Source organism: Homo sapiens, chromosome 20 (genome assembly GCF_000001405.40).
Source record: "Homo sapiens chromosome 20, GRCh38.p14 Primary Assembly".
Taxonomy (NCBI): Eukaryota; Metazoa; Chordata; class Mammalia; order Primates; family Hominidae; genus Homo; species Homo sapiens.
Window position 1 is genome coordinate 51,831,384 of NC_000020.11, and position 26,953 is coordinate 51,858,336.

The 26,953-nt window shown below is 46.4% G+C and overlaps 1 long non-coding RNA gene across 1 annotated transcript in view, besides 1 other annotated feature; it reads right to left on the reverse strand.

Annotated features, from left to right (window-relative positions):
* Positions 1 to 413: 413 nt before the first annotated feature.
* LINC01429 (long intergenic non-protein coding RNA 1429) overlaps positions 414 to 26,953 on the reverse strand; it is a 31,117-nt gene continuing 4,577 nt past the window's right edge. The window contains exons 2-3 of the long non-coding RNA NR_110016.1: positions 11,302 to 11,366; positions 414 to 2,586 (exon numbers count right to left, since the gene is read on the reverse strand). This is a non-coding gene — a long non-coding RNA (long intergenic non-protein coding RNA 1429). The remainder of the gene's footprint in view (positions 2,587 to 11,301; positions 11,367 to 26,953) is intronic.
* Positions 15,096 to 15,596: an enhancer, noted in NCBI's record as "H3K4me1 hESC enhancer chr20:50463018-50463518 (GRCh37/hg19 assembly coordinates)". NCBI's record gives its function as "activates a minimal SCP1, AML or CMV promoter by ChIP-STARR-seq in primed H9 embryonic stem cells {active_cell/tissue: H9 hESC(primed)}" and the evidence as "EXISTENCE:reporter gene assay evidence [ECO:0000049][PMID:30033119]".

A 26,953-nucleotide genomic window follows, 5' to 3' on the forward strand; every position in this document is an offset into this window, starting at 1 on the left:
CGATACATATTCAAATTCCAGTCAAGCTTCTCTCTTTTTTTTTGAGACGGAGTTTCGCTCTGTCGCCCAGGCTGGAGTGCAGTGGCACGATCTCGGCTCACTGCAAGCTCTGCCTCCCGGGTTCAGGCCATTCTCCTGCCTCAGCCTTCCGAGTAGCTGGGACTACAGGCGCCTGCAACCAAGCCCGGCTAATTTTTTTTTGTATTTTTAGTAGAGACGGGGTTTCACCGTGTTAGCCAGGATGGTCTCAATCTCCTGACCTCCTGATCCGCCCGCCTCGGCCTCCCAAAGTGCAGGGATTACAGGCGGGAGCTACCGCGCCCGGCCCAGCTTCTCTTTTTGAATGCCAGGCTTTGTGCTAAAACTCTTACTGGTTTTTACACTGAGCCCCCAAAGATTATCAACCCAAATTTCAGGACGCATGTGTTTTTATTAATGTCTCAGAAAAGTCAGATTGGAAGTTGCATGCACAATTCCTGCCGGAACAAAGTACAGCCATCTCCCTGCACTAATGCATTTCCAGCTGGTGGAGTTCAGTTTTTAAAGAGCAGTAAATACTTGCAAGAGACGAACGGCAGGAAGTGAATGAAGGAATAGATACATTTTTAAGATCCACTGACAGCTTGTACATTCTGGAAGCCATGTGGGTCAGGGGGATGAATTTATTGGCTTTAACGTCAGACGCTCTGCAGGTCGTGAGATGTGCCTTTTGTCCTGACGTCAGCTGAGAGCAGATCTTTGGAAGGATTTGCCCATTGAGCACATTTGCTGAAACATCTTGGCTTCATTACATTTATGAGTTTTAAAAGCATGTAAAATATTTTATGTGGTTCTTGCAAAAGGGTAACAACATAAATAACCTGCAGGGATAGGATGATTTTCAAGAAATGGGGTCAGCCGGCAAGCCAGTGTTCACTCTGTGGACATTCTGAGTGTACAGAATATTAATACTTCATTTGCCCCTCCAGATCCACTCTCCATTTTCTCTTCCCTCCTCTGTGCCCAAGAGGCCGGGCAGTGGGGACCACATCTCCTGGTTCTGTGACATCTGGTTTCTTGCTGGGTTCAGCCAATAAGGAGGAGTGGGAGATGGGAGGGCCAAGGTGGGGCTGGGCTATTAACTCCCTGGCTGGCCATGGTCTGGCAGTGGCTGTGTCCCTCTACTGAAACCCACAGCTCCCATGGGGTGGCCTTTTTCCTATGGATCTTGCCATTTTCTGATAACCACTCCCTCCTGCTGCCTTTGGAGGCCTTGGAGAGGGAAGGGCTTTTGGTTGTTGGTAGCCCCGGGGTGCTTCATCAACCCTGCTGATTTCTCTATACCTTGCTTATATCTTGGTAAATACCCCTTTTATTAAACATTCCTCAGCCGGACATGGTGGCATGTGCCTGTAGTCCCAGCACTTTGAGAGGCCGAGGCAGGAGGATCTCTTGAACCTGGGAGGCGGAGGTTGCAGTGAGCCAAGATTGCGCCTCTGCACTCTAGACTGGGCGACAGAGTGAGACTGTCTCTAAAAAAAAAAAACAAAGAACCCCAAAAGACTCTCCTCAGTTACTCTGCTCAAGTGAGCCTTTTAATTATCTTGGGGACCTTGTATAGGTACAGTTATTATTTTGTTTGTTTGTCTGTTTTGAGACAGAGTCTCACTCTGTTGCCGAGGCTGGAGCGCAGTGGTACAGTCTTGGCTCACTGCAACCTCCACCTCCTGGGTTCAAGCAATTCTCCTGCCTTCGCCTCCCAAGTAGCTGGGATTACAGGCATGCACCCCCAAGCCCGGCTAATTTTTGTATTTTTGGTAGAGACGGGGTTTCACCATGTTGGCCAGGCTGGTCTCAAACTCCTGACCTCAAGTGATCCTCCGCCTTGGCCTCCCAAAGTGCTGGGATTGTAGGTGTGAGCCATCACGCCCAACGGGCACAGTTGTTAATATCATGTTAGATTAAAAATCAAAATCTTACAGAAACTTCAGCCTTTATATCACGATGGCTTCCTGTCCCTATGGCAAGGTAATCCTTAAGAGAGAGGCCAAGCTCAAAGCTGTAGCCAAATAATTTAATATCTATGAGGTGACTTTCACATACCTCATACTAAATATGCAAGCTACACATGACCTCTACCATCCAGAAATACCTGTTTTAGCAGCGAAGATAGACTATCTGATGAGAAATCGTACTATGGGAGGAACATGGCTTGGCAATTAAGAGTCTCTATTTGTTTTCTGGGGCTGCTGTAACAGAGAGCCACAGACGGAGCGGCTTACACAGCACAGATGTATTGTCTGAAGGCTCTCTGGGTGCTGTGAGGGAAGGATCTGTGCCAGGCCTCTCTCCTTGGCTCGTAGATGACCGTCTTCTCCCTGTGACTCTGCCGTCATCTTCCCTCTATGTCTGTCTGTCTCTGTGTCCACATTTCTCCCACAGGTCACCAGTCCTATTGGAATAGGGTCTTGGTAAAGACCCTATTTCCAAGTAGAAACACATTCTGAGGTGCTGGGTCTCAGAGCTCCAACATCTCCTTTTTGGGAGGATACAATTCAACGCAGAGCAGAGGCCGACATCCATGAGTTTAAATCCAGGTTGTGTCACCTTGGGCAAATTATTTATTTATTTATTTATTCATTTTTGAGACGGAGTCTCACTCTGTCACCCAGGCTGGAGGGCAATGGCGTGATCTCAGCTCACTGCAACCTCTGCCTCCCGGGTTCAAGTGATTCTCCTGCCTCAGCCTCCTGAGTAGCTGGGATTACAGGCACCCGCCACCACACCTGGCTAATTTTTGTATTTTTTAGTGGAGACGGGGTTTCACCATGTTGACCAGACTGGTCTCGAACTCCTGACCTCAGGTGATCTGCCCGCCTCAGCTTCCCAAAGTGCTGGGATTACAGGCGTGAACCACCATGCCCGGCCACCTTGGGCAAATTATTTAAACTGCTCAGTGTTTGTGTTTCATCATCTAGAAAATGGGGATAGCCTGGGCTTGGTGGCTCGCACATGTAATCCAGCACCTTGGGAGGCAGAGGCAGGAGAATCACTTGAACCCAGGAGGCAGAAGTTGCAGTGAGCTGAGATTGGGCCACTATACTCCAGCCTGGGCTACAGAGCGAGACTCCATCTCAAAAAAAAAGCCAGGCATGGTGGTATGTGCCTGTAGTTCCAGCTACTTAGGAGGCTGAGGCTGGAGGATTGCTTGAGCCTGTGTGGTCAAGCTGCAGTGAGCTGTGATGGTGCCACTACACTCCAGCCTGGGCAACAGAGCAAGACCTATCTAAAATATAAAGTAAAATAAAATAGGGATAATATTTTTACAATCACTTTGCAGGATACTGTGAAATAAGGGGTGGGAGACTGCTTAAAAAGTGCCTGGCATAGGCAGGGCGCGGTGGCTCATGCCTGTGGCTCATGCCTGTAATCCCAGCACTTTGGGAGGCTGAGGCGGGTGGATCATGAGGTCAGGAGATAGAGACCATCCTGGCTAACACAGTGAAACCCCGTCTCTACTAAAAATACAAAAAATTAGCTGGGCGTGGTGGTGGGCACCTGTAGTCCCAGCTACTCGGGAGACTGAAGCAGGAGAATGGCATGAACCCTGGAGGCGGAGCTTGCAGTGAGCCGAGACTGCGCCACTGCACTCCAGACTGGGCGACAGAGTGTCAAACAAACACAAAAACGTGCCTGGCGTGTGGCAAATGTTGTCGGTGTGGGCTTTCGCTATTATTAACCTAAAGTGTTGTACTTTCACATAACAACTCCATTGAGCGTCTTCAGGCATCTCAAACTTCCCCGTCCAGTTGGCTCGTTTTCTAATCCTACCCATCTTGGAAAATGGCACCCTCACCAGCCCAGTTGCTCAAGCTGTCCATGATCCTTCTCATCATTGCCACTTTCACTCCACCAGTGAACCTGCTGGATACCCCTCCAAGGACACGCTGTATTCTGAATTCATTGCTTCTCTTCATCTCATTAGTTAGATCTGATGAGACGGCCCTGCCGTCCTCTCTTGGACACTCTCTTGAACAAAGCAGTAACCTCTTAGCTTGTTTTCCCGCTTTCACTGCACCCCTTCTAGAGATCATCCTCTGTACAGGAGCCAAGGGATCTTTAAAAACATGGATCCCAGCCGGGCATGGTGGCTCACGTCTGCAATCCCAGCACTTTGGGAGGCCGAGGAGGGCAGATCTCTTAAGGTCAGGAGTTCGAGACCAGCCTGGCCAATATGGTGAAACCCTGTCTCTACTAAAAATATAAAAATTAGCCAAGTGTGGTGGCGGGCGCCTATAGTCTCAGCTACTTGGGAGGCTGAGGCAGGAGAATCGCTTGAACCTGGGAGGCTGAGGTTGCAGCAAGCAGAGATCACACCATTGCACTCCAGCCTGGGCAACAGAGCGAGACTCCGTCTCAAAAACAAACAAACAAACAAACAAAAACAAAACACGGATCCCATCATGTCTTTTCCTGCGTAAGACTCTGGATGGCTTTCCATTGAAACTAGAACAAAATCTACACATCTTTGTTCTAAGGCCCTCTTCCAAGGCCCTAATGATCTGGTCTCTGCCTGCCTCTCCAATGTGACTTCCTACCATTCTCCCCTGGATCACTAGATTTTAGTTACATGGGTCTTCCTGCTTTTCCTCCAATATAACAAGCAGATCCAGCTTCAGTGCCTGTGCACTTGCTGTTCTCCGGGCTTGGAATACCCTTCCAAGAACTTTCTCCCTCACTTCATTCAGGTCTTTGCTCAAATGTTACCTCTTCAAGGAGGTCTTCCTTGCCCACCATTTTTTTTTGTTTGTTTGTTTGTTTTCTTTTCTTTTTTTTTTTTTTTGAGACAGAGTCTTGCTCTGTCACCTAGGCTGGAGTGCAGTGATGCGATCTCGGCCCACTGCAACCTCTGCCTCCCAGGTTCAAGCAATTCCTGTGCCTCAGCCTCCCGAGCAGCTGGAACGACAGGAGACACAAGCCACCATGCCCAGCTAACTTTTGTGTTTTTAGTAGAGACAGGGTTTTGCCATGTTGTCCACTCTGGTCTCAAACTCCTGAACTCAAGCAATCTGCTCACCTCAGCCTCCTAAATTGCTGGGATTATAGGCATGAGCCACCATGCCTGGCCGAGATTCCCTATTTCTTTTTTTTTTTTTTTTTTTTTGAGATGGACTCTTGCTCTGTTGCTCAGGCTGGAGTGCAGTGGTGCGATCTTAGCTCACTCCAACCTCCACCTCCCGGGTTCAAGCGATTCTCCTGCCTCAGCCCCCTGAGTAGCTGGGACTATAAGCGCATGCCACCACACCCGGCTAATTTTTGTATTTTTAGTAGAGATGGGGTTTCACCATGTTGGCCAGGATGGTCTCGGTCTCCTGACCTTGTGATCCACCTGCCTTGGCCTCCCAAAGTGCTGGGATCACAGGCGTGAGCCACTGCACCCGGCCAGCTCTTAATTGCATTATTTTATATTACCATTCTCACAGCATTAATCACCCTCAGCAGTTCTATTTACGCACTTCTTTGTTTTGCTTACGGTCCACCTCTACCACCAGAATGCAATTGATCTGATAGTTGAGAGGTCTCCCATGCTCACTGCTGAATCCCCATCACCTAGAACAGTGCCTGGCACTTAATAGGCATCCAGTAAATCTTTGCGGGGGTGGGATGGGAAGCAAACACAAAATGATATGTGGTTCTCTTCTCTCTTTTCTGCCCCCTCTCCAAACGAAACCACCAGCAGAGGAAAGAAACAAAAAGTCTATGAGTTGTCAAGATTTCTGCTTTGGGGCACAGTGGTCATGCCTGTGATCCCAGCTTTTTGGGAGGCTGAGTTGGGATGATCATCTGAGCCTAGTTGTTTGAGACCAGCCTGGGCAACATAGCAAGACTCCATCTCTAAACAAATTTTTTTTTTTTTTTGAGACAAGGTCTTGCTCTGCCACCTGCATTGGAGTGCAGTGGCACTATCATAGTTCACTGCACCCTCAACCTCCAAGGCTCAAGTGATCCTCTCACCTTAGCCTCCCAAGTAGCTTGGACTACAGGCGTGCACTACCACACCTGGCTAATTTTTTTGTAGTGACGAGGTTTCGCCATATTAACCAGACTGGTCTTGAACTCCTGGCCTCAAGTGATCCTTCCTTCTTGGCTTCCCAAAGTGCTGAGATTATAGGTGTGAACCACCATACCTGATTCTACAAAAATTTTTTTAAAAAGTTAGCCAGGCATGGTGGCGCATGCCTGTAGTTCCAGCGAGGTGAGGTGGGAGCATTGCTTGAGCCCAGGAGTTGGAAACTGCAGTGAGCTTTGATCCTGCCACTGTCTGGGCAACAGCATGAGACTCTGTTTCTAGAAAAACAAAACAAAACAAAACAAAAAAAGATTCCCGCTTTGGAACAATGGCTAGGGGCTGGGAATCTAGGATGGATCCAGAGTGGGCAAGTCTTGGCTTCTTATAACTGCAGAATCCCACGATGGATGTGTGGGTGGGCTGGGGTAACAGATCTACTCAGGGTGGGGGCTGGGGGTATCGCGAGGTGTTTAAGCCTGTCAATAAAAAAAGTGACCGCTGCTTTGTATCTGCAGCTACTCAAGGGAAATAAAGCCGTTTGCTTATAAAGAATTTCCATAAACATTTCTGAGGATGTGTATTAGGGGTAATCTTGGGATGTGCATTAAACTAAACAGGGTAGTATAAACACAGGAACAGGCTGAAAGGGGGAGAATAAATGGCCCAGGTTTGCCCTGGCCCAATGGCCTTAGGCAACTTGTGCAGCCTGCAGAAACCCAGAGACTTCAGTTCATTATTTAAAGAAGGCGGAGACAAAGAGGGAAAACCAAACGCAGCCCTCCCATGGGTAGATAGATTCTTGAACAACCTCTGGAATTAAGCTTTTTTTTTCTCTCCTCCTAGTGTTCAATGCTTTGGATTCCTGAAGTTATCTATGTTGAAATACTCGAGAGATGGTAAGGAGAACAGGAACAGGTAGCTTTGGGAGGCACGTGCTCTGGGCTAGGCATAGTTCTTTTTTTTGGGGGGGCGGGGGGAGGGAGTCTCGCTCTGTCGCCCAGGCTGGAGTGCAGTGGCGCGATCTCGGCTCACCGCAACCTCCACCTCCCGGGTTCAAGCGATTCTCCCTCCTCAGCCTCCAGAGTAGCTGGGATTACAGGCACCTGCCACCACGCCCAGCTAATTTTTTGTATTTTTAATAGAGACTGGGTTTCACTGTGTTAGCCAGGATGGTCTCGATCTCCTGACCTCGTGACCCACCTGCCTCGGCCTCCCAAAGTGCTGGGATTACAGGCGTGAGCCACTGTGCCCGGCTGGCTAGGCACAGTTCTAAAAGCTGCGTGTGCACGATCTCATTTCATCCTCCCGGTACCGCTTTGGGGAAGGTAACACTATTGCCTCCACTTTGCAGAAGAGGAAACTGAGGCAGAGAGAAGGGTGATGACTTGCTGAAGGATACAGAGCTCATTACAGTGGAGGTTCAGGGTCTGAGCTCTAGAAAAGATGCTCCACCCTATGAAGGAAAAGGTTCATTGGTATTATCTATCTATCTATCTATCTATCTATCTATCTATCTATCTATATATTTTTTTCTGGGATGGAGTCTCACTCTGTTGCCCAGGCTGGAGTGCAGTGGTGCGATCTCAGCTCACTGCAAACTCTGCCTCCCGGGTTTAAGCTATTCTCCTGCCTCAGCCTCCTGAGTAGCTGGGATTACAGGTGTGTGCCACCACACCTGGCTAATTTTTGTATTTTTAGTAGAGACGGGGTTTCACCATGTTGGCCAGGCTGGTCTCAAACTCCTGACCTCAGGTGATCTGCCCGCCTTGGCCTCCCAAAGTGCTGGGATTACAGGCGTGAGCCACCACGCCCGGCCTAAATCATTTGAATTTGCTAACTCATTCATGTGTTGATAATATAAATAAATAATTTTTAAAGTGTCCCCTTGTGCAAACCAATGATGAAAGCAGGCCATGAATAGAGGCAGGTGATCAGCTCCACTCTGTGCCCCGGAGTACCCTCAAAATAAACCCCAAGGCTCAGGACCAAATATAGATGATGATAGGCTAGGCGGTGGCTCACACACAAAAAATCAGAGGTGGATAAGAATCTATATCTGCACCTGCCAGGAGCCAGGTCGAGGAGGATTAAGAGTTGGGGGAGACTTTCCACTGTGCCCATTCTTTCTACATTTTGGGTCATATGAATGTATTATCTTTTCCAAAGTTTGAATTATTATTTTTGTTTTGTTTGTTTTGTTTTTTTGAGGCGGAGTTTCACTCTTGTTGCCCAAGCTGGAGTGCTATGGCACGATCTCGGCTCACCTCAACCTCCGTCTCCCAGGTTCAAGCAATTCTCCTGCCTCAGCCTCCCAAAGTGCTGGGATTACAGGTGTCAGTCACCGCGCTCGGCCTGAATTATTTTTTAAAAACTTTGATAGGATATAAATGAAAAGAATTTTTTTTTTTGAGACGGAGTCTTACTCTGTCACCCAGCCTGAAGTGCAGTGGTGCGATCTTGGTTCACTGCAAGCTCCGCCTCTCGGGTTCACGCCATTCTCCTGTCTCAGCCTCCCAAGTAGCTGGGACTACAGGCACCCACCACCATGCCTGGCTAATTATTTGTATTTTTAGTAGAGATGGGGTTTCACCATGTTAGCCAGGATGCTCTTGATCTCCTGACCTCGTGATCCGTCTGCCTCGGCCTCCCAAAGTGCTGAGATTACAGGCGTGAGCCACCGCGCCCGGCCAAAATTTTTTTTAATATGATACAAAATAATTTTTTTTTTTTTTTTTTGAGACAGAGTCTTGCTCTGTCGCCCAGGCTGGAGTGCAGTGGCACGATCTCGGCTCACTGCAAGCTCCGCCTCCCGGGTTCATGCCATTCTCCTGCCTCAGCCTCCTGAGTAGCTGGGACTACAGGCGCCCTCCACCCCGCCCAGCTAATTTTTTGTATTTTTTTAGTAGAGACGGGGTTTCACCATGTTAGCCAGGATGGTCTCAATCTCCTGACCTCGTGATCCGCCCACCTCGGCCTCCCAAAGTGCTGGGATTACAGGCGTGAGCCACCGCGCCCGGACTAATATTTTTTTTTAAATAAAAAATATGAAACTGGCCTGGGCACGGTGGCTCATGCCTGTAATCCCAGCACTTTGAGGGGCCGAGGTGGGTGGATTACCTGAGGTCAGGAGTTCAAGACCAGCCTGACCAACATGGTGAAACCCTGTCTCTTCTAAAAATACAAAATTAGTTGGGCGTGGTGGCGCATGCCTGTAATCCCAGCTATTTGGGAGGCTGAGGAAGGAGAATCACTTGAACCCAGGATCTGGAGGTTGCAGTGAGCCGAGATCACGCCATTGCACTCCAGCCTAAGCAATGAAGAGTGAAACTCTGTCTCAAAAAAAAAAAAAACAAAAAACAAACAAAACAAAACAAAAAACTGAAAAGGTTTCAGGAATGCAAAGGCAACATGTCCCAAAGTATTAAAATGGTACAACCTTGCTTTTGACGTGAAGGTCAGTTACAGAACGAAATTAGCCAGCAAGCAGGTGAGAGCAGAGATTAAAACGGTAATGAAGATGGCCATTCCACAGCCTTTTCTAACTACATGGAAATTATCTTCCTTGACAGTAGCCAACCTGTGCTTACATTCTCTCTCTCTCTCTCTCTCTCTCTCTTTCTCTCTCTCTCCTCCCACCTGCTTGCCATGACCTATTTCATAGTCCTGGCACGTGTGAAATGCCTGCCAAGAACTGCAGAAGACAGAGACACAGTGCTCCAAAAAGGTTGAATGGCAACTTTATCATGGACATTTTGGTGATTACAATATCTACATTTCCTGGGGGGTCTCAGAATCACAGAAATTATTTCAAGTTAGTCCGAGGCTGCTCAACGCTGAGGTCAAAACATCTGAGAGAAAAGGTTAAGTAAAAAATCTGGTTGTTTCTATAAAACTGGACTCATTCATTCAATGGCTATGTACTGAATACCTACCATGTACCAGACCACGCTGAGGACCAGCCAGAGGCAAGGCAGGCACCTCAGGCACAAAAGGCAAGAAGGCCTCACTCTCTGTCACTGCTACACCTGCAAAACCCCTAGCGTAAGGTTCCCTTTGCATTTCCTGCCCGTGGTGCCTGCCTGGCCTCATCCTAGTGCCTATTCCATACCAGACGCTGTTCTAAGCACTGACGCTGCAGCAGTGAACAAAACAAAAAGAAGCTGGACAAATGCTCAAGTCTCCACATTTCAGAATTGGATATTTTGGTGCTGAATTGACTGCGTTAAGAAACAGAGGTTTCCCGGATACAGTGGCTCATGTGTGTAATCCCAGCACTATGAGAGGCTGAGGCGAGAGGATGGCTTGAGCCCAGGAGTTTTGAGACCAACCTGGACAACACGGTGAAATCCCAGCTTTACAAAAAATATGAAAATTAGCTGGGCATGGTGGTACACGCCTGTAGTCCCAGCTACTCGGAAGGCTGAGGTGGGAGGATCACCTGAGTCTGAGGAGGTTGAGGCTGCAGTGAGTTGAGATTGTGCCACTGCACTCCGCCTGGGCAACAGAGTGAGACTCTGTCTCAAAAAAAAGAAACAGGTCAGGCGCGGTGGCTCACGCCTGTAATCCCAGCACTTTGGGAGGCTGAGGCGGGTGGATCACCTGAGGTCAGGAGTTCGAGACCAGCCTGACCAACATATTGAAACCCCGTCTCTACTAAAAATACAAAAATTAGCCAGGCGTGGTGGCACACGCCTGTAATCCCAGCTACTTGGGAGGCTGAGGAAGGAGAATCACTTGAACCTGGGAAGCGGAGGTTGCAGTGAGCTGGGATCATGCCACTACACTCCAGCCTGGGCAACAAGAGCGAAACTCCATCTCGGAAAAAAAAAAAAAAAAAAAAGAAACAGAGGTCTTTGCCCACTCTTCAGCTTGGAGTTACTAAGTGATCTCAGTCTTGCTTCAGTTGACTTCTTACTCTGCATCCCCAGGTAGCCCTTTGTTGTTCAGGACTAGCTTGGACAATGGAAAGCCCCATCTTCTGAGTGCTCCCCAATGTCTGGGGCTATAGATAGATTGACCAATGCAATCTATGTCATGCCCCATGAGGTGGGACCAGTGATTCTCACCACTTTCCAAACTGAGGTCACAGTTGGTCTGAAAGCTGGGAGGGTTCACCCATAGAGAAAACTGGCCAAGACAAGATTCAGATCTGGCGTGGGTCCGAGAGACTCCTGCAAGGGTGTACTCTAGCACTCCACACATTACTTAAGGTTGGTTGAGCTCAGAGGTACAGATATATGTTGGCGACTTACTGAAGGCTGCAAAGCTCATTAAGATCAGGGGTCCAGGGTCTGAGCTCTTCAAAAGATGTTCCACCCTAGGAAGGAAAACGCTCGTTGTTATCATCATTGACGTTTGGTCACTGAGCCTTGGGGTTTATTTTTAGGAAACTCCTAAAAATAATGTGTTTTAGGACACACAGTGAAACTGATCATGTGTCTCCATTCATGGCCTGCTTTCATCATTGGTTTGTGCATGAAGACACTTCTAAAATTATTTATTCATATTATCGATATATAGATGTATTAGCCATTGCTTCTCCCTGTCACGTATAAGACTTGACAAGACTATCATCCCCGAGGTGACCCCCGAAGTGCTATCATTACTCACCGTCCTACCCTCTGGCCCAGCTGCAAAGAATGGGTCTAGCTTAGCTTTCTGATCCTTTCTGCCATCCCAACCCAATCTGCTCTGATTCATCACTTCCTCCCTAAGCATCCTCACCAAAGCCCTTCAGCACCAGTGTCAGCAACAACAGCCAATATGCCCTGGGTCTTCCTTCCTGTGCTCTTTCAAATAACCAGATTATTACTGGACTGCCTATTATATGCCAGGCCCTGTGATTGGCACTGGAATGCAACAATAAGCAAAAACAGACATGGTACCTACCCATCTTCATTTAGCACACAGTCTAGTGGAGGGAGGTGGACATCAGTTAAATAATCACCCCCAAGTACGCAGAAAGATCTTATTGCACAGTATGATAATGGATATGGAGAAAAAGTGCCAGGCACCGCCACCAGGAGTTGGAACTGGTCCAGGAGGGCTTCTCTGAGGAAGGGACCTTGGAGCTGAAACCTGTAGGATGGGGCAACTGGGTAAAGTGGGCAGAGATAGCCTCTGGGCAGAGGGTTGAGCAGTGACACTGGAGAGGAAGCCAGAGGCTCACTTGGGAAAGACCTTGAGATGGATCAGAGGCAGGTGATGGCGGGCATCCATGGGGTCTTACTCTGAGCATTCATGGGATTCAGTTTGGGTGCAATGCAGTCGCGGCCGGCTACAGTTGCAGAACTCACTGGAGGGAGGTGAGAGTGCATGGGAAGACCAGTGAGGAAGCTCCTGCCCGTCTACAGGTGATGGACGATCGGGATAGTGGGGTGGTAGCAAGGTGCAAACAAATGGACTCATGATGTACTTGGAGATTTGGTGATGGAGTGCATGAGGGATAAGGAGCAGAGTGAGGGGTCCCTGACCTCCTGCTCGAGCAAATAGAGCAACAGTAGATCCTCAGGTGATCTTCATAAATTCAAACCATCCTTCCCTCCCTTGCACAGGCAAGAAACAACATTGAAGTATCTACATTGAAGACAGAACTTTGTGTTCCTATTTGTTTTTCTCTATGCTAATTAAAATGCCCTTTGTAATGGCCGGGCATGGTGGCTCACACCTGTAATCCCAGCACTTTGGGAGGCCGAGGCAGGCAGATCACCTGAGGTCAGGAGTTTGAGACCAGCCTGACCAATATGATGAAACCCCGTCTCTACTGAAAATACAAAAATTGGCCGGGCACGGTGGCTCACGCCTGTAATCCCAGCACTTTGGGGGGCTGAGGCGGGTGGATCACCTGAGGTCAGGAGTTCAGGACCAGCCTGGCCAACATGGTGAAACCCCATCTCTACTAAAAATACAAAAAAATTAGCCAGTCGTGGTGGCAGGCGCCTGAAATCCCAGCTACTGGGTGGGTGGGGGGCTGAGGCAGGAGAATTGCTTGAACCCGGAAAGGGGAGGTTGCAGTGAGCCGAGATTGCGCCATTGCACTCCAGCTTGGGGGACAAAAGCAAGAAGCTGTCTCAAAAAAAAAAAAAGTACAAAAATTACCCGGGCATGGTGGCATGTGCCTGTAATCCCAGCTACTCGGGAGGCTGAGACAGGAGAATTGCTTGAACCCGGGAGGCAGAAGTTGCAGTGAGCCCAGATCGTGCCATTGCACTCCAGCCTGGGCGACAAGAAAGAAACTCTGTCTCAAAAATATATACATAAAAACAAAACGAAACACCCTTTGTAAATCAATCCAGAGGAAACTTTTCCTTTTTTTGCCAATGAAATTAATTATGTCGAGAAACCTGAATCTCATCTCTTCTGTCTTCATGTCTGTTACATTCTCAAAAGACACACTATTGCTCAGTGTCAGGGTAGGATAATGAGCTGATCAGAAACAATTTTCATGTCATTTGAAGCTTAATTTCATTAGCAAATAAAAACTGTTTCAAATACCACCATTGGTCCTCTAAAGTTGATTTAGAGATTCAGGTTGAAAATCGATTAAAGTGATTTTTCCTTCATAAAAGTTTATAGCTCTGCAGGCACACACAGACTCCTTAGACTTGCAAAGCCACATCCATATTATTTTCCAGAATGACCGTTACCGAAAAAAAGTGAGTTGCAGAGCAATAAGTAGATATGATCTCGTTTATGTAAAAACAAAACAAAGCAGTGACAAAAGCTAAAACTGAAAATCACTCCAAATTCAGCAGCATTGGCATCACAGTGGAGCTTGCTAAAAATGGGGAATCTCGCCCGGGCGCAGTGGCTCACGCCTGTAAATCCCAGCACTTTGAGAGGCCGAGGCGCGTGGATCATGAGGTCAGGAGATCAAGACCGTCCTGGCTAACACGGTGAAACCCCGTCTCTACTAAAAATACAAAAAATTAGCCGGGCGTGGTGGCGGGTGCCTGCAGTCCCAGCTACTCGGGAGGCTGAGGCAGGAGAATGGCGTGAACCCGGGAGGCGGAGCTTGCGGTGAGCCGAGATCGTGCCCCTGCACTCCAGCCTGGGCGACAGCGAGACTCCATCTCAAAAAAAAAAAAAAAAAAAAGAAATGGGGAATCTCAGATCCTACCCAAGACCCACTGAATCATTTTAACAAAATCAACAGCTGATTCTTCAGCACATTGAAGTCTGACAAGCACTGCTGTTAACAGTTCTTTTTCTTTTCTTTTCTTTTTAAGACAGGTTCTCACTCTGTCACCCAGGCTGGAGATCACAGTCCACCACAGCCTCCTGGGCTCACGCAATCCTCCCGTCTCAGCCTCCCAAGCAGCTGGGACTGTAGGTGCATGCTATCATACCCAGCTAATTTTTTTCTTTCTTTTCTTCCTTTTTATTTTTATTTTTATTTATTTTTTATTTTTTCTAGATACAAGGTCTCACTATATGGCCCAGGCTGGTCTCAAACTCCTGGACTCAAGCAATCCTTCCACCTCAGCCTCCCAAAGGGCTGGGATTATAGGCGTGAGCCACCACACCCAGTCTATATTTATATTTCTACACACACACAAACACTTGTGTGTGTTATATATGTAGATAAATATATTATCTATGTATCTAATATATCTATTATCCTAGACATACATAGATATGTGTATATGAATAGAAATATAAATGCATAGAAAAGTCTGGACTAAACTGCTCACGGTGGTTAATTTTGAGAAGTTTGGATTTCAAGGTGAATGTGGTGGTGAATAGTAAGTGGGAAATTCAAAGGGGGCTTTCACATTTTACCAGATATACCAGATAACCTAGATTTACTGATCTAGGCGCCCGCCACCACGCCTGGCTAATTTTTTTTGTATTTTTCAGTAGAGACGGGGTTTCACCGTGTTTGCCAGGATGGTCTCCATCTCCTAACCTCATGATCTGCCCGCGTCTGCCTCCCAAAGTGCTGGGATTACAGGTGTGAGCCACCGCGCCCGGCCAGACAGAACTGCTTAATGCATTACTTGGGTAATTTAAATTTAAATATTAAGATAGTATAAAGCTGAGGACCTAAAAAACTAATCTTACAAATAACACGGACATCTCAAGTCCCTCCTCTCTTTGACCTACCAATTCCTCCTGGGGGGAGGTGCCCTCAGAATTACTCACACATGTGAGAAATGATGTGCAACCGAGATAATTCACAGGAGCACTGTTTGTAATAGCCCAATATTGAAGACAACTTAAAGGCCCATCATAGCCCGGGCACGGTGGCTCACGCCTGTAATCCCAGCACTTTGGGAGGCCCAGGCAGGCGGATCACTTGAGGTCAGGAGTTTGATACCAGCCTGGCCAACATGGTGAAACCCCGTCTCTACTAAAGACACAAAAAGTAGCTGGGTGTGGTAGCGCGTGCCTGTAATCCCAGCTACTTGGGAGGCTGAGAGAGGAGAATCGCTTGAACCTGGGAGGTGGAGGTTGCAGTGATCCAAGATCGCATCACAGCACTCCAGCCTGGGTGACAGAGAAAGACTGTCTCAAAAACAATAAAGGCCCATCATTTGGGAATTGGTTAAATAGAATAAAGGACATTTACAGCGTAACACTATACAGTCATAGAAAAGAGAGATCAAAGGGCTGGGCGTGGTGGCTCGTGCCTGTAATCCCAGCACTTTGGGACGCTGAGGTGGGAGGATCACCTGAGGTCAGGAGTTTGAGACCAGCCTGGCCAACATGGTGAAACCCTGTCTCTACTAAAAACACAAAAATTAGCCGGGGGTGGTGGCACACATCTGTAATCCCAGCTACTCAGGAGGCTGACTCAGGAGAATCACTTAAACCTGGGAGATGGAGGTTGCAGTGAGCCGAGATCGCGCCACTGCACTCCAGCCTGGGTGACAGAGCGATACTCTTGTTTCAAAAAAAAAAAAAAAAAAAAAACAAGATCAAGCTCTATATGTGTTGAGATGGAACAATGGCCAAGAGCAATGGTTCATGCAAGGACAAAGGGGCTGAGCCATCTGGATGATATGTTGACAATTGTGTAGAAAGGGAGCGGGGAGTGGAATACATATTTATATTTGGTTGTATATGCACAATGTAGCTCTGAGTATCATATTATACAACATAAAGGAGTAGTGGTTGACTATGAGAAGGGGAACAAATGGGTGGCTGTGGGACAGTGGTTAAGAGACTTTTCACCATTTGTTAAACTTGGTGATTATTTGAAGCACTTGGATGCATTACCTATTCAAAATCTTACTAAAACAAGAACAAAACAAACAAACAGAAGCTTCTAGGATTCTTTTATTTCTCTGAGAATCCTTACTCCTGGGAACTACATCTGGAGAACTCATTGTGAGCCCAATAACACAGGGGCTTGGTTTCCCATGAAAAGAAGGCTGCCTTTCAAGGAAGGAGAGGGACATTCTCCATCCTGAGGGGACACCCCCCACACACCCCATGCTTCCTTTATTGCCATTTCGTCCTTTGCTGCTCTCATTTGATGTGGCTCGGCTTTTTTTTTTTTCTTAAAGTTCCCACCAGTTCTCTTTAAAGACAGCACCAAAACTAAAACTAAAAACCAATTTAATTTTACTTTTAAAGCACTCCCCCTTTTTTTTTAATTTTTACAATAATGAAGATCTTATTCTAGGATGAAAATAATGAATAGGAAAGAGCTGTTTATTCTTCCTTCTTCCCACCCCTGAATATTGAAGTAAAACTAAATAACAATGAAAGTGACTAGGAACAGCAGACAAGGGGAAATATGTCAGAATGAGAACATCTCATGTCATCTCCAGGGCTGGGGGAGAAACATCTTTCCTGGTACAAGGTCCCGGTACCGAAGAAATACAATTTTTCAAAAAGTTCTGTAAGTGATACATGCTTGTTACAAAAAATCTCTACCATTTTCAAAGCTTAGAAGGCAGAAACTCCTTGTTAGTTGGTAATTTCTTTATCTCTCTCATGCTTTCCTGATATCTGAATTACGCTTGAGAAAAAGAGGAAAATAAAACAAGACAGAAAATAATGCTTCCTTAGGTAAATACAATCGGCTAAGAAAGGCTTCCAAGAAGAAGCATAATTCACTGAGTCCCAGCTTATTGAGAGAATCCCCAAACAAAGGACTTTTGTGAAGGGATCAGTCTCAGCCACCATAACTTAGCATACAATAGGATGGCTTAATAAAAGAGGTTTCCAAAGGCCAAGATGGTTATCAAAGATCTCCCAAGGAGAGAGGGAGAAGAAGAGACAGAGAGAAAAAGAGAGAGAGAAAGAGGGAAGGAATAACCTTCTGGAATGTTCCCAACTATCTTTCCAGTTAGCATTCATGAATACGTGAAAGGTTTCATATCACTTGGAGTCCCACCCATTTTTCAAAATAGGAAGCTTCCGCTATTTTCTTCTGGATCCGTTATTGGGTCAAGAGAAGTCTCTGCCTCTTGTCCAGGACATTTGGATATTTCTTATTTGTTATTTATTTATGAGATAGGGTCTCACTGTGTCGCCCAGGCTGGAGTGTAGTGGCACAACCATGGCTCACTGCAGCCTCGACCTCCCAGGTTCAAGTGATTCTCCCGTCCCAGCCTCCTGAGTAGCTAGGACGACAGGCACCATTGCACTTGGCTAATTTTAAAATATTTTTTAGAGATAGGGTCTTGCTATGTTGCCCAGCCTGCTCTCAAACTCCTGGCCTCAAGTGATCCTCCCCCACCTTGGCTTCCCAAAGTGCTCGGATTGCAGGTGTAAGCCACCCACTGCACCTGGCCTAGATTTGGAAGTTTATATAATTACTTTTCAATGAATGTTTTAATGAATGTTGCAATGAATGTCTCCTTGTTTACCTTAGATGACTGGGTGAAATAAACAACTCCTCAAATTTTGTTATGTTACTCTGCCATATTATATCACGTATGACATATATTGTTATATTATATTACATATGTATGTCTATACATATGTTTCTGTGTATGTAGATGTTTATACATCCAGCATATTAAATCCATCAAGCTTTTCGACAAAGGTGAAAGGTTGTAGACTTCACAAACTTAAATAATGTAGGTTGTAGAGTCAGAGCAACTTCTGGTTGTCCCAGTGAACTTGGATAAGTGACTTAACCTGGCTGGGCCTCCATGTCCTCCTGGCAAGTAGGGGTGGTAACCGCCCATATGGAGGGGGTTCCACAAGATAAATTTGGAAAGACATAGGCAAGTGGCACAAAGCAACGGTAGCTGTGGTTGTCCCCTCCGGACAGTGGTTATTAAAAAGACTTATAGGTTGGGCGCGGTGGCTCCTGCCTATAATCCCAGCACTTTGGGAGGCCAAAGCAGGCAGATCACTTGAGGTCAGGAGATCCAGATCAGCCCAGCCAACATGGTGAAACCCCGTCTCTACTAGAAATACAAAAATTACTGAGTATGGTGGCGCAAGCCTGTAGTCCCAACCTACTCAGGAGGCTGAGGCATGAGAATCACTTGAACCTGGGAGGCAGAGGTTGCAGTGGGCCAAGATGGCGCCACTGTACTCCACCCTGGCAACAGAGTGAGACCTTGTTTCAAAAAAAAAAAAAAAAAAAAAAAAGAAGATGTATGTTCCCGGCTTTAGGAGACTACCTTGGGGGCTGTGCAAACACAGGCTACTCTATTCAAATTCTGGATTTCTTTAAAAAACAAAACCACAAACACCAAAATACTCTGATAGTGCTTCAAAACCTCAAACTGGCCAGTGTGTGGCTCATGCCTGTAATCTAGCACTCGTGTGTGGCTCATGCCTGTAATCTAGCACTCTGGGAGGCTGAGGCAGGTGGATTGCTTGAGCCCAGAAGTTTGAGACCAGCCTGGGCCACATGGTGAAACCCCATCTCTACAAAAATGATAAAAGTTAGCCAGGCGTGGTGACTGTGGGCCTGTAGTCCCAGCTACTCAGGAGGCTGAGGTGGATCACCAGAGCCCAGGAGGTCAAGGCTGCAGTAAGCCGAGATCATGAGATCATGCCACTGCACACCAGCTTGGGTGACAGAATGAGACCCTGTCTCAAAAAAAAAAAAAAAAAAAAGCCCTGAAATTCAGTGGTCTCAAAATTTAGAGTATATTCAGCTATTCAGCAAAAAAGAGAAAAGAATAAAATTCTTACTTGAGGCCGGGCATGGTGGCTCACGCCTGTAATCCCAACACTTTGGGAGGCCGAGGTAGGTGGATCACTTGAGGTCAGGAATTCGAGACTAGCCTGACCAACATTGTAAAACCCCATATCTACTAAAACTACAAACTTAGCCAGGAATGGTGGCACATGCCTGTAATCCCAGCTACTTGGGAGGCTGAGGCAGGAGAATCGCTTGAACCCAGGAGGCAGAGGTTGCAGTGAGCTGAGATAGCGCCACTGCACTACAGCCTGGGTGACAGAGTGTGTGAAACTCCATCTCAAAAAAAAAAAAAAAAAGATTATGGTGAGCATTGCAATGACTGTGCGCACACTAAAGACCACTGAATTGGTCACTTTCGATAGGTAAATTGAGTATGAAGTATATCTCATTAAAGCTGTTATGAAACACATTTTAAGGCCGGGCGTGGTGGCTCACGCCTGTAATCCCAGCACTTTGGGAGGCTGAGGGATCACCTGAGGTCGGGAGTTCCAGACCAGCCTGACCAACATGGAGAAATACAAAATTACCCCGGGGTGGTGGCACATGCCTGTAATCCCAGCTACTCGGGAGGCTGAGGCAGGAGAATCACTTGAAACCGGGAGGCGAAGGTTACCGTGAGCCGAGATCGTGCCATTGCACTCTAGCCTGGGCAACAAGAGCGAGACTCCGTCTCAAAAAAAAAAAAAAAAAAAAAAGTAAGAAACACATTTTAGTGCACTTTCATATGCCCTGGGCACGCTTGTTTAAAATGTAGGCTGGTACACTTTCTTCCAGGGATTTTGCTTGGAGAGACCATTCTTATGCCACCAGGGGCCTTTCAAAGCTTTGAGAAACACCGCAGGAGGCCTGACCCAAGTCTTATCCACCATCTAGACATCCACTGTGCCTGATGTTCCATCCTGAACACCTTGTTTTGTCCATCCTTTCTGAAATTTTATGTCCAGGTTGCTATCATTGCTTTATTTTACAGGGGAGGAAATGGAAGTGGTATAAAACAAAACAGCGAAGCTCAGGGCTGTGGCTTCAGCGGGCCTGGAAATGGGTAGATGGGGACTATAGGTCAAGTGTGTTCTCCTGCAGCCCACACCTGATCACTGCAGTTCTTTTTTTTTTTTTTTTTGAGACACAGCCTCGCTTTGTCACCCATGCTGGAGCGCAGTGGTGTGATCTCGGCTCACTGCAAGCTCCGCCTCCCAGGTTCACATGCCATTCTCCTGCCTCAGCCTCCCGAGTAGCTGGGACTACGGGCACCCACCACCATGCCAGGCTAATTTTTTTGTATTTTTAGTAGAGACAGGGTTTCACCGTGTTAGCCAGGATGGTCTCGATCTCCTGACCTCGTGATCCGCCTGTCTCAGGCTCCCAAAGTGCTGGGATTACAGGCGTGAGCCACCGCGGCCGGCCTGGTCACTGCAGTTCTAGCGGCACCTAGGAATGTGGTTAACACAGGCTTTTCTTGCTGTGGTGGGCCTTACTATATACGACACCTAATATAGTAAAATACGACCATATTTCACATTCAGTTAAACAAATGTGTGTAATTTTTGAAATGTTCTGAAGTGTGCAATTACTAATTTTGCTCAGATAGAATATTTTGCTCTTGTGATTTTTTTTTTTTTTGAGATGGAGTCTCGCTCTGTCGCCCAGGCTGGAGTGCAGTGGCGCGTTCTCGGCTCACTGCAACCTCCGCCTCCCAGATTCAAGTGATTCTCCTGCCTCAGCCTCCCAAGTAGCTGGGTTTACAGGTGTGTGCCATCACACCTGGCTAATTTTTGTATTTTTAGTAGGGATAGGGTTTCACCATATTGGCCAGGCTGGTCTCGAACTCCTGACCTCAGGTGATCCACCCGCCTCGGCCTCCCAAAGTGCTGGGATTACAGGAGTGAGCCACCACACCCAGCTTGCTCTTGTGATCTAAAGACCTCTAAAAACCACCAGTTGCAGATGCCAGTTAGTATGATGTAACAATTTGTAGCCATTTGTGAATTCTCTGTGTATATTTTATCACTTATTAAATTTTTATTTAATTTTTAGAGAGGAAGGGTCTCACTCTGTCACACAGACTAGAGTGCAGTGGGGTGATCATAGTTCATTGCAGTCTCAAACTCATAGGCTCAGGCAGCTTCTCACCTCTGCCTCCCAAGTAACTAGGACTACAGGCATGCACCACCACACCAAGCTAATTTTTCAATTTTTTGTAGAGACAGGGTTTTGTCATGTTGCGCAGGCTGGCCTCCAACTCCTGGCCTCAAGCCATCCTCCTGCCTTGGCCTCCCAACATGTTGGGATTACAGGCATGAGCCACTGCATCAGCCTCTGTCTATTTTTAAATTTGTTTTGGTAAGCCAGGATTTGATATTTTTCTTTGGTTCTTGCAAAGCTCTTGCGTCCTTGGATCTAGTACTGCAGCACCCTGTAAAAATATCCCTGAAAGTGTAGGCAAAGTCATGCTTGGTTTTGTGGTGGACGTGATCCCACTTGTTGTCTGGTTTCATTCACTATTTATCTCAAAGCGCATTTCTGATTTCTCTACTTCATTCTGTCCATTGTAGCCTGAGGAGGTGGAGGTGGGGCTCTGAAGATGGCTGAGAGGTGGGGACTGTGTCCAGGTGTGTCTAGTAATCTGAATATTTCTTAATCTTCCACTGTATGCAAATACTTTACTGAGCTACATGATAGGAAGAAATATAAAACAAAACCCCTTTAGAAGATTGCAAATGAATACTGTAGAGGAAGCTAGCAGGCATGTATAAGAAAAGATTCTTGACCTCAGGCATTATAAGAAAAATGCAAATATAATTAGTATATCTTTTTTTTCCTTATCAGATCAACAGATATCCAACCTTTTGATAATGCCGTCTTTGCAGGGTGTGGGGAATCAGGCTCTGACATACACTGCCAAGAGGGTGGGAGTTAAAAATGCTTTAGTCTCCTTGGGAGTATTTGGAAACATAAACTAAAATAGAAACTATACACGTTCCTTTTTTTTTTTCTTTTGAGACAGGGTCTCGCTCTATCGCCCAGGCTGGAGTGCAGTGGCACGATCAGCTCACTGCAACCTTCACCTCCTGGGTTCAAGTGATTCTCATGCCTCAGGCTCCAGAGTAGCTGGGGCTACAGGCGCGCGCCACCATGCCCAGCTAATTTTTTGTGTGTGTGTGTATTTTTATGAGAGACGGGGTTTCGCCATGTTGGCCAGGCTGGTCTTGAACTCTCAAGGGATCCACCTGCCTTGGCGTCTCAAAGTGCTGGGATTACAAGCATGAACCACCATGCCTGACTGAGATGTACATACTCTTTGACCTAACAATTATTCTACTGGAAATTTATCCTATAGACCCCCACTCAGGAATATATGATAAGTGATGTACGTATAAGGAAATACATTGCAACATTGTATGTAAAAGCTAAGTAATAGAAACAACCCAAATGTCCATTAGAGGAAGCTGTCAAAATAAGTTATGGTCATCTATGATATGGCATTGTATTTCTGCAGCTGGAGGCAGCTGTGTTTGAACTGACATTCTGTGAGAGATAGACTGAAATTAAAAACACAAGCTGGGGCCAGGTGCGGTGGCTCACGCCTGTAATCCCAGCATGGGAGGCTGAGGTGGTTGGATCACCTTGAGGTCAGGAGTTTGAGACCAGCCTGACCAACGTGGTGAAACCCCGTCTCTACTAAAAATATAAAAATAACCCGGGCGTGGTGGCACATGCCTGTAATCCCAGCTACTTGGGAGGCTGAGGCAGGAGAATAGCTTGAATCCGGAAGGCAGAGGTTGCAGTGAGCCAAGATCATGCCATTGCACTCTAGCCTGGGAGACAAGAGTGAAGAGTGAAACTTTGTCTCAAAAAAAGAAAGAAAAACACAAGCTGCCAGACTGTTTTGGATGCTACCAACTGAGTAGGAAAAAATATTAGGTTGAGCCATGTGAAAGTACCAATATGAGACCATTTTTGACATATAAACATGACAGTTTCATGTACTTCAATGTCATATATAGGTATGTAGGGTTTTTTTTTTTTTTTTTTTTACTTTTTATTTTGAAGCGAAGATTCACATTTTTTTTTGTTTTTCTTCTTCTTTTTTTTTTTTTTTTTTTTTGAGACGGAGTCTCGCTCTATCGCCCAGGCTGGAGTGCAGTGGTGTGACCTCAGCTCACTGCAAGCTCTGCCTCCCGGGTTCACGCCATTCTCCTGCCTCAGCCTCCCGAGTAGCTGGGACTACAGGCGCCCGCCACCACGCCTGGCTAATTTTTTGTACTTTTAGTAGAGACGGGGTTTCACCGTGTTAGCCAGGATGGTCTTGATCTCCTGACCTCGTGATCCACCCGCCTCAGCCTCACAAAGTGCTGGGCTTACAGGTGTGAGCCACCTCGCCGTGCCCGGCCTCATGTGTACTTTTAAGAAATAATAGATACTGTGTAAACTTTACCCAGTTCTCCTAATGGAAACCTCTTACAAAACTTTAGTACAGTATCATAACCAGGATGTTGACATTGATATATTCAAGATACAGAACATTTCCATTATCATAAAGATTCCTCATGTTATACTTTTATAGCCACACCCACTTCCCTCCAGGCCTAACCCCTCCTTCATTCCTGGCAACCACTAATCTGTTCTACATTTCTATAGTTTCGTCATTTCAAGAATGTTACATAAATGGAGTCATATAGTATATAATCTTTTGAGATCAGCTTTTTCTCTGTATTTATTTATTTTTTGAGATAGGGTCTCGCTCTGTCACTCAGACGGCAGTACAGTGGCACTATCTGGGCTCACTACAGCCTCCGACTCCTGAGCTCAATCAATCCTCCCACCTCAGCCTCCTGAGTAGCTGGGGCTATAGGTGTGTGCCACCATGCCCGGAGATTTTTTTTTTTTTTTTTTTTTTGAGACAGGGTCTCATTCTGTCACCCAGGCTGGAGTGCAGCGGTGCGATCTCGGCTCACTGCAACCTCTGCCTCCCGGGTTCAAGTGATTCTCCTGCCTCAGCCTCCCGAGTAGTTGGGATTACAGGCACCTGCCACTATGCCTGGCTAATTTTTGTATTTTTAGTAGAGACGGGGTTTCACCATGTTGGCCAGGCTGGTCTCAAATTCCTGACCTCAGGTGATCCGCCCATCTCAGCCTCCCAAAGTGCTGGGATTACAGGCGTGAGCCACTGCTCCCAGCTGAACACAGTTTTTATTTCTCTGTGATAAGTGCCCCGGAGCGCAACTGCTGGGTCATGTGGTACTGCATGTTTAGTTTTTTTTTTTTTAACAAACTGACAGTTTTCCAGAGTGGCTGTAACACGTGACATTACCTCCAGAAATGCATGGGTGCTATGTACAGAGTGGTAAAAAAAAATCTCTGTCGCCAAACCATCTGAACTCTAGTGAAAGTGGGGTGGGTGTGAACAAATGAACAAAATCTACATTGTATTAGACAAGGATAAGTGCTTTGGAGAGAATGAGGCAGCCAGTGGGGGTGGGGTCTGCAAGGGTCTGGATGGATCAACTGCAGTGGTGAAAAGGGAAGGCTTTGGAGGGAAAGTGACACCTGAAGATAGAATAAATGTGTTATTGTGGAATGCAATGCTGCTCCACTGCCCCCCCACACCTTTTTTTTTCAATGCCTTGAAAAGACTTAATCCAGACGAACTCTCTTCTCGCCTGCTTTCTTTTTTTTTTTTTGAGACAGAGTTTCGCTCTGTCACCCAAGCTGGAGTGCAGTGGCACAATCTCAGCTCACTGCAACCTCTGCCTCCTGGGTTCAAGTGATTATCCTGCCTCAGCCTCCTGAGTAACTGGGATTACAGGTGCATGCCACCACGCTCAGCTAATTTTTTGTATTTTTAGTAGAGACAGGGTTTCACCATGTTGGTCGGGCTGATCTTGAACTCCTGACCTGAAGTGATCCACCCGCCTTGGCCTCCCAAAGTGCTGGGATTACAGACATGAGCCACTGTGCCTGGCTTGATTTTAGATTCCCATCTGATGTTCTCTATAACTTTGATGACTCCCCAAACAAAGGCTCCCAAACACACTCTGAGGCTTATGGTAATGAATTTAAATAAGCCAGCGTGTGTACTGGGTGTAGCACATGTCCAGAAGCAGGAAACCCTCACTGTCCTCTATAAGCTGCTGTTCTGTCAGGAACATTGTGACAGCACTGCTGCTGATATTATCGTTTTCATATCCCAGAATGGGAATGGTTTCTTGCCATCCTCAGACAGAGTTGCCTCATCTTGATGACAGTGGTAGGATGAGTAATAATTATCTACCATTGTCTAACTTAGATATCAAGCACTTTGCACCAATTCTTATTGGGTGCTCAAAGAAACCTCAGGAGGAATATGCTATCAGTATAACTCCCTTTTTATAGCTAAGGCCACAAAGGCTCTGAGTGGCGAAGTGGTCCATGAGGGTCTCAGAGCAGTAATGGGGAAGAATGAGATTTTGAATCCTAAAGCACTAGAGGAAATGTTCTTCAACTATGCCTCAGAGGTGTCCTAGAAAATCAGACCGGAAGAGTATTCACCAAATTTAGTATTTGTGCTGCAACGATTGGAAATCCATAAGTAAAAGAATGAAAGTGGACTTTTCCCTCACACCATATGCAAAAATTAATTTGAAATGAATCAATAACCTAAACAGAAGAGCTAAAGCCATAACACTCTTAGGAGAAAACACAGGAGGAAATTTCCATGAACTTGGAATTGGCAATGGGTTCTTAGATATGAACACACAAAACATGAGCAACAAAATAAAAAATAAAGCACAAGGAACAAAAGGAAATAAATTGGACTTCATTAATTTCTTTTCTTTTTTTTTTTTGAGGCAGAGTCTTACTGCTGTCTCGGCTCACTACAACCTCTGTTCCCCAGGTTCAAGCAATTCTCCTGCCTCAGCCTCCCAAGTAGCTGAGAATACAGCTGTGCACCACCACACCCGGTTTCACCATGTTGGCCAGGGTGGTCTCAAACTCCTGACCTCAAGTGATTGTCCCACCTTGGCCTCCCAAAGTGCTGGGATTACAGAAGTGAGCCACCACACCCGGCCGGGACTTCATTAAATTTAAAAACTTTTGTACATCAAAGGACATTATCAAGGAAGGAAAAAGACAACTCACAGAATGGGAGAAAATATTCGCAAATCAATCATAAATCTGATAAGGGTCTGGGATCTAAATTTTTTTTGTAGCCACCACGCCTGGCTAATTTTTGTGTTTTTAGTAGAGATGGTGTTTCACTATGTTGGCCAGGCTGGTCTTGAACTCCTGATCTCAGGTGATCCAACCACTTCGGCCTCCCAAAGTGCTGGGATTACAGGTGTGAGCCACCACTCCCAGCCTGGGATCTAAAATTTGTAAGGCATTCTTGCAAAGCAACAACAAGACAAACAACTCAGTCAAAATATGGGCAAAGGACTTGAATAGATATTTTCTTCCAAAGAAGATGTACAAAAGGCCAGAAAGCACATGACAAGATGCTCAGCATCATTAGTCACTAGAGAATGCACTTCAAAATCACAAGGCATCATTTCACATCCACTAGGATGGTTATTATCAACAAAACCAAACAGAACACAAAAACCCAGGTTGGGTATGGTGGCTCATGCCTGTAATCCCAGCACTTTGGGAGGCCAAGGTGGTTGGATTACCTGAGGTCAGGAGTTCGAGACCAGTCTGGCCAACATGGCAAAACCCCATCTCTACTAAAACTACAAAAATTAGCCAGGCATGATGGCACACGCCTGTAATCCCAGCTACTCAGGAGGCTGAGGCAGGAGAATAGA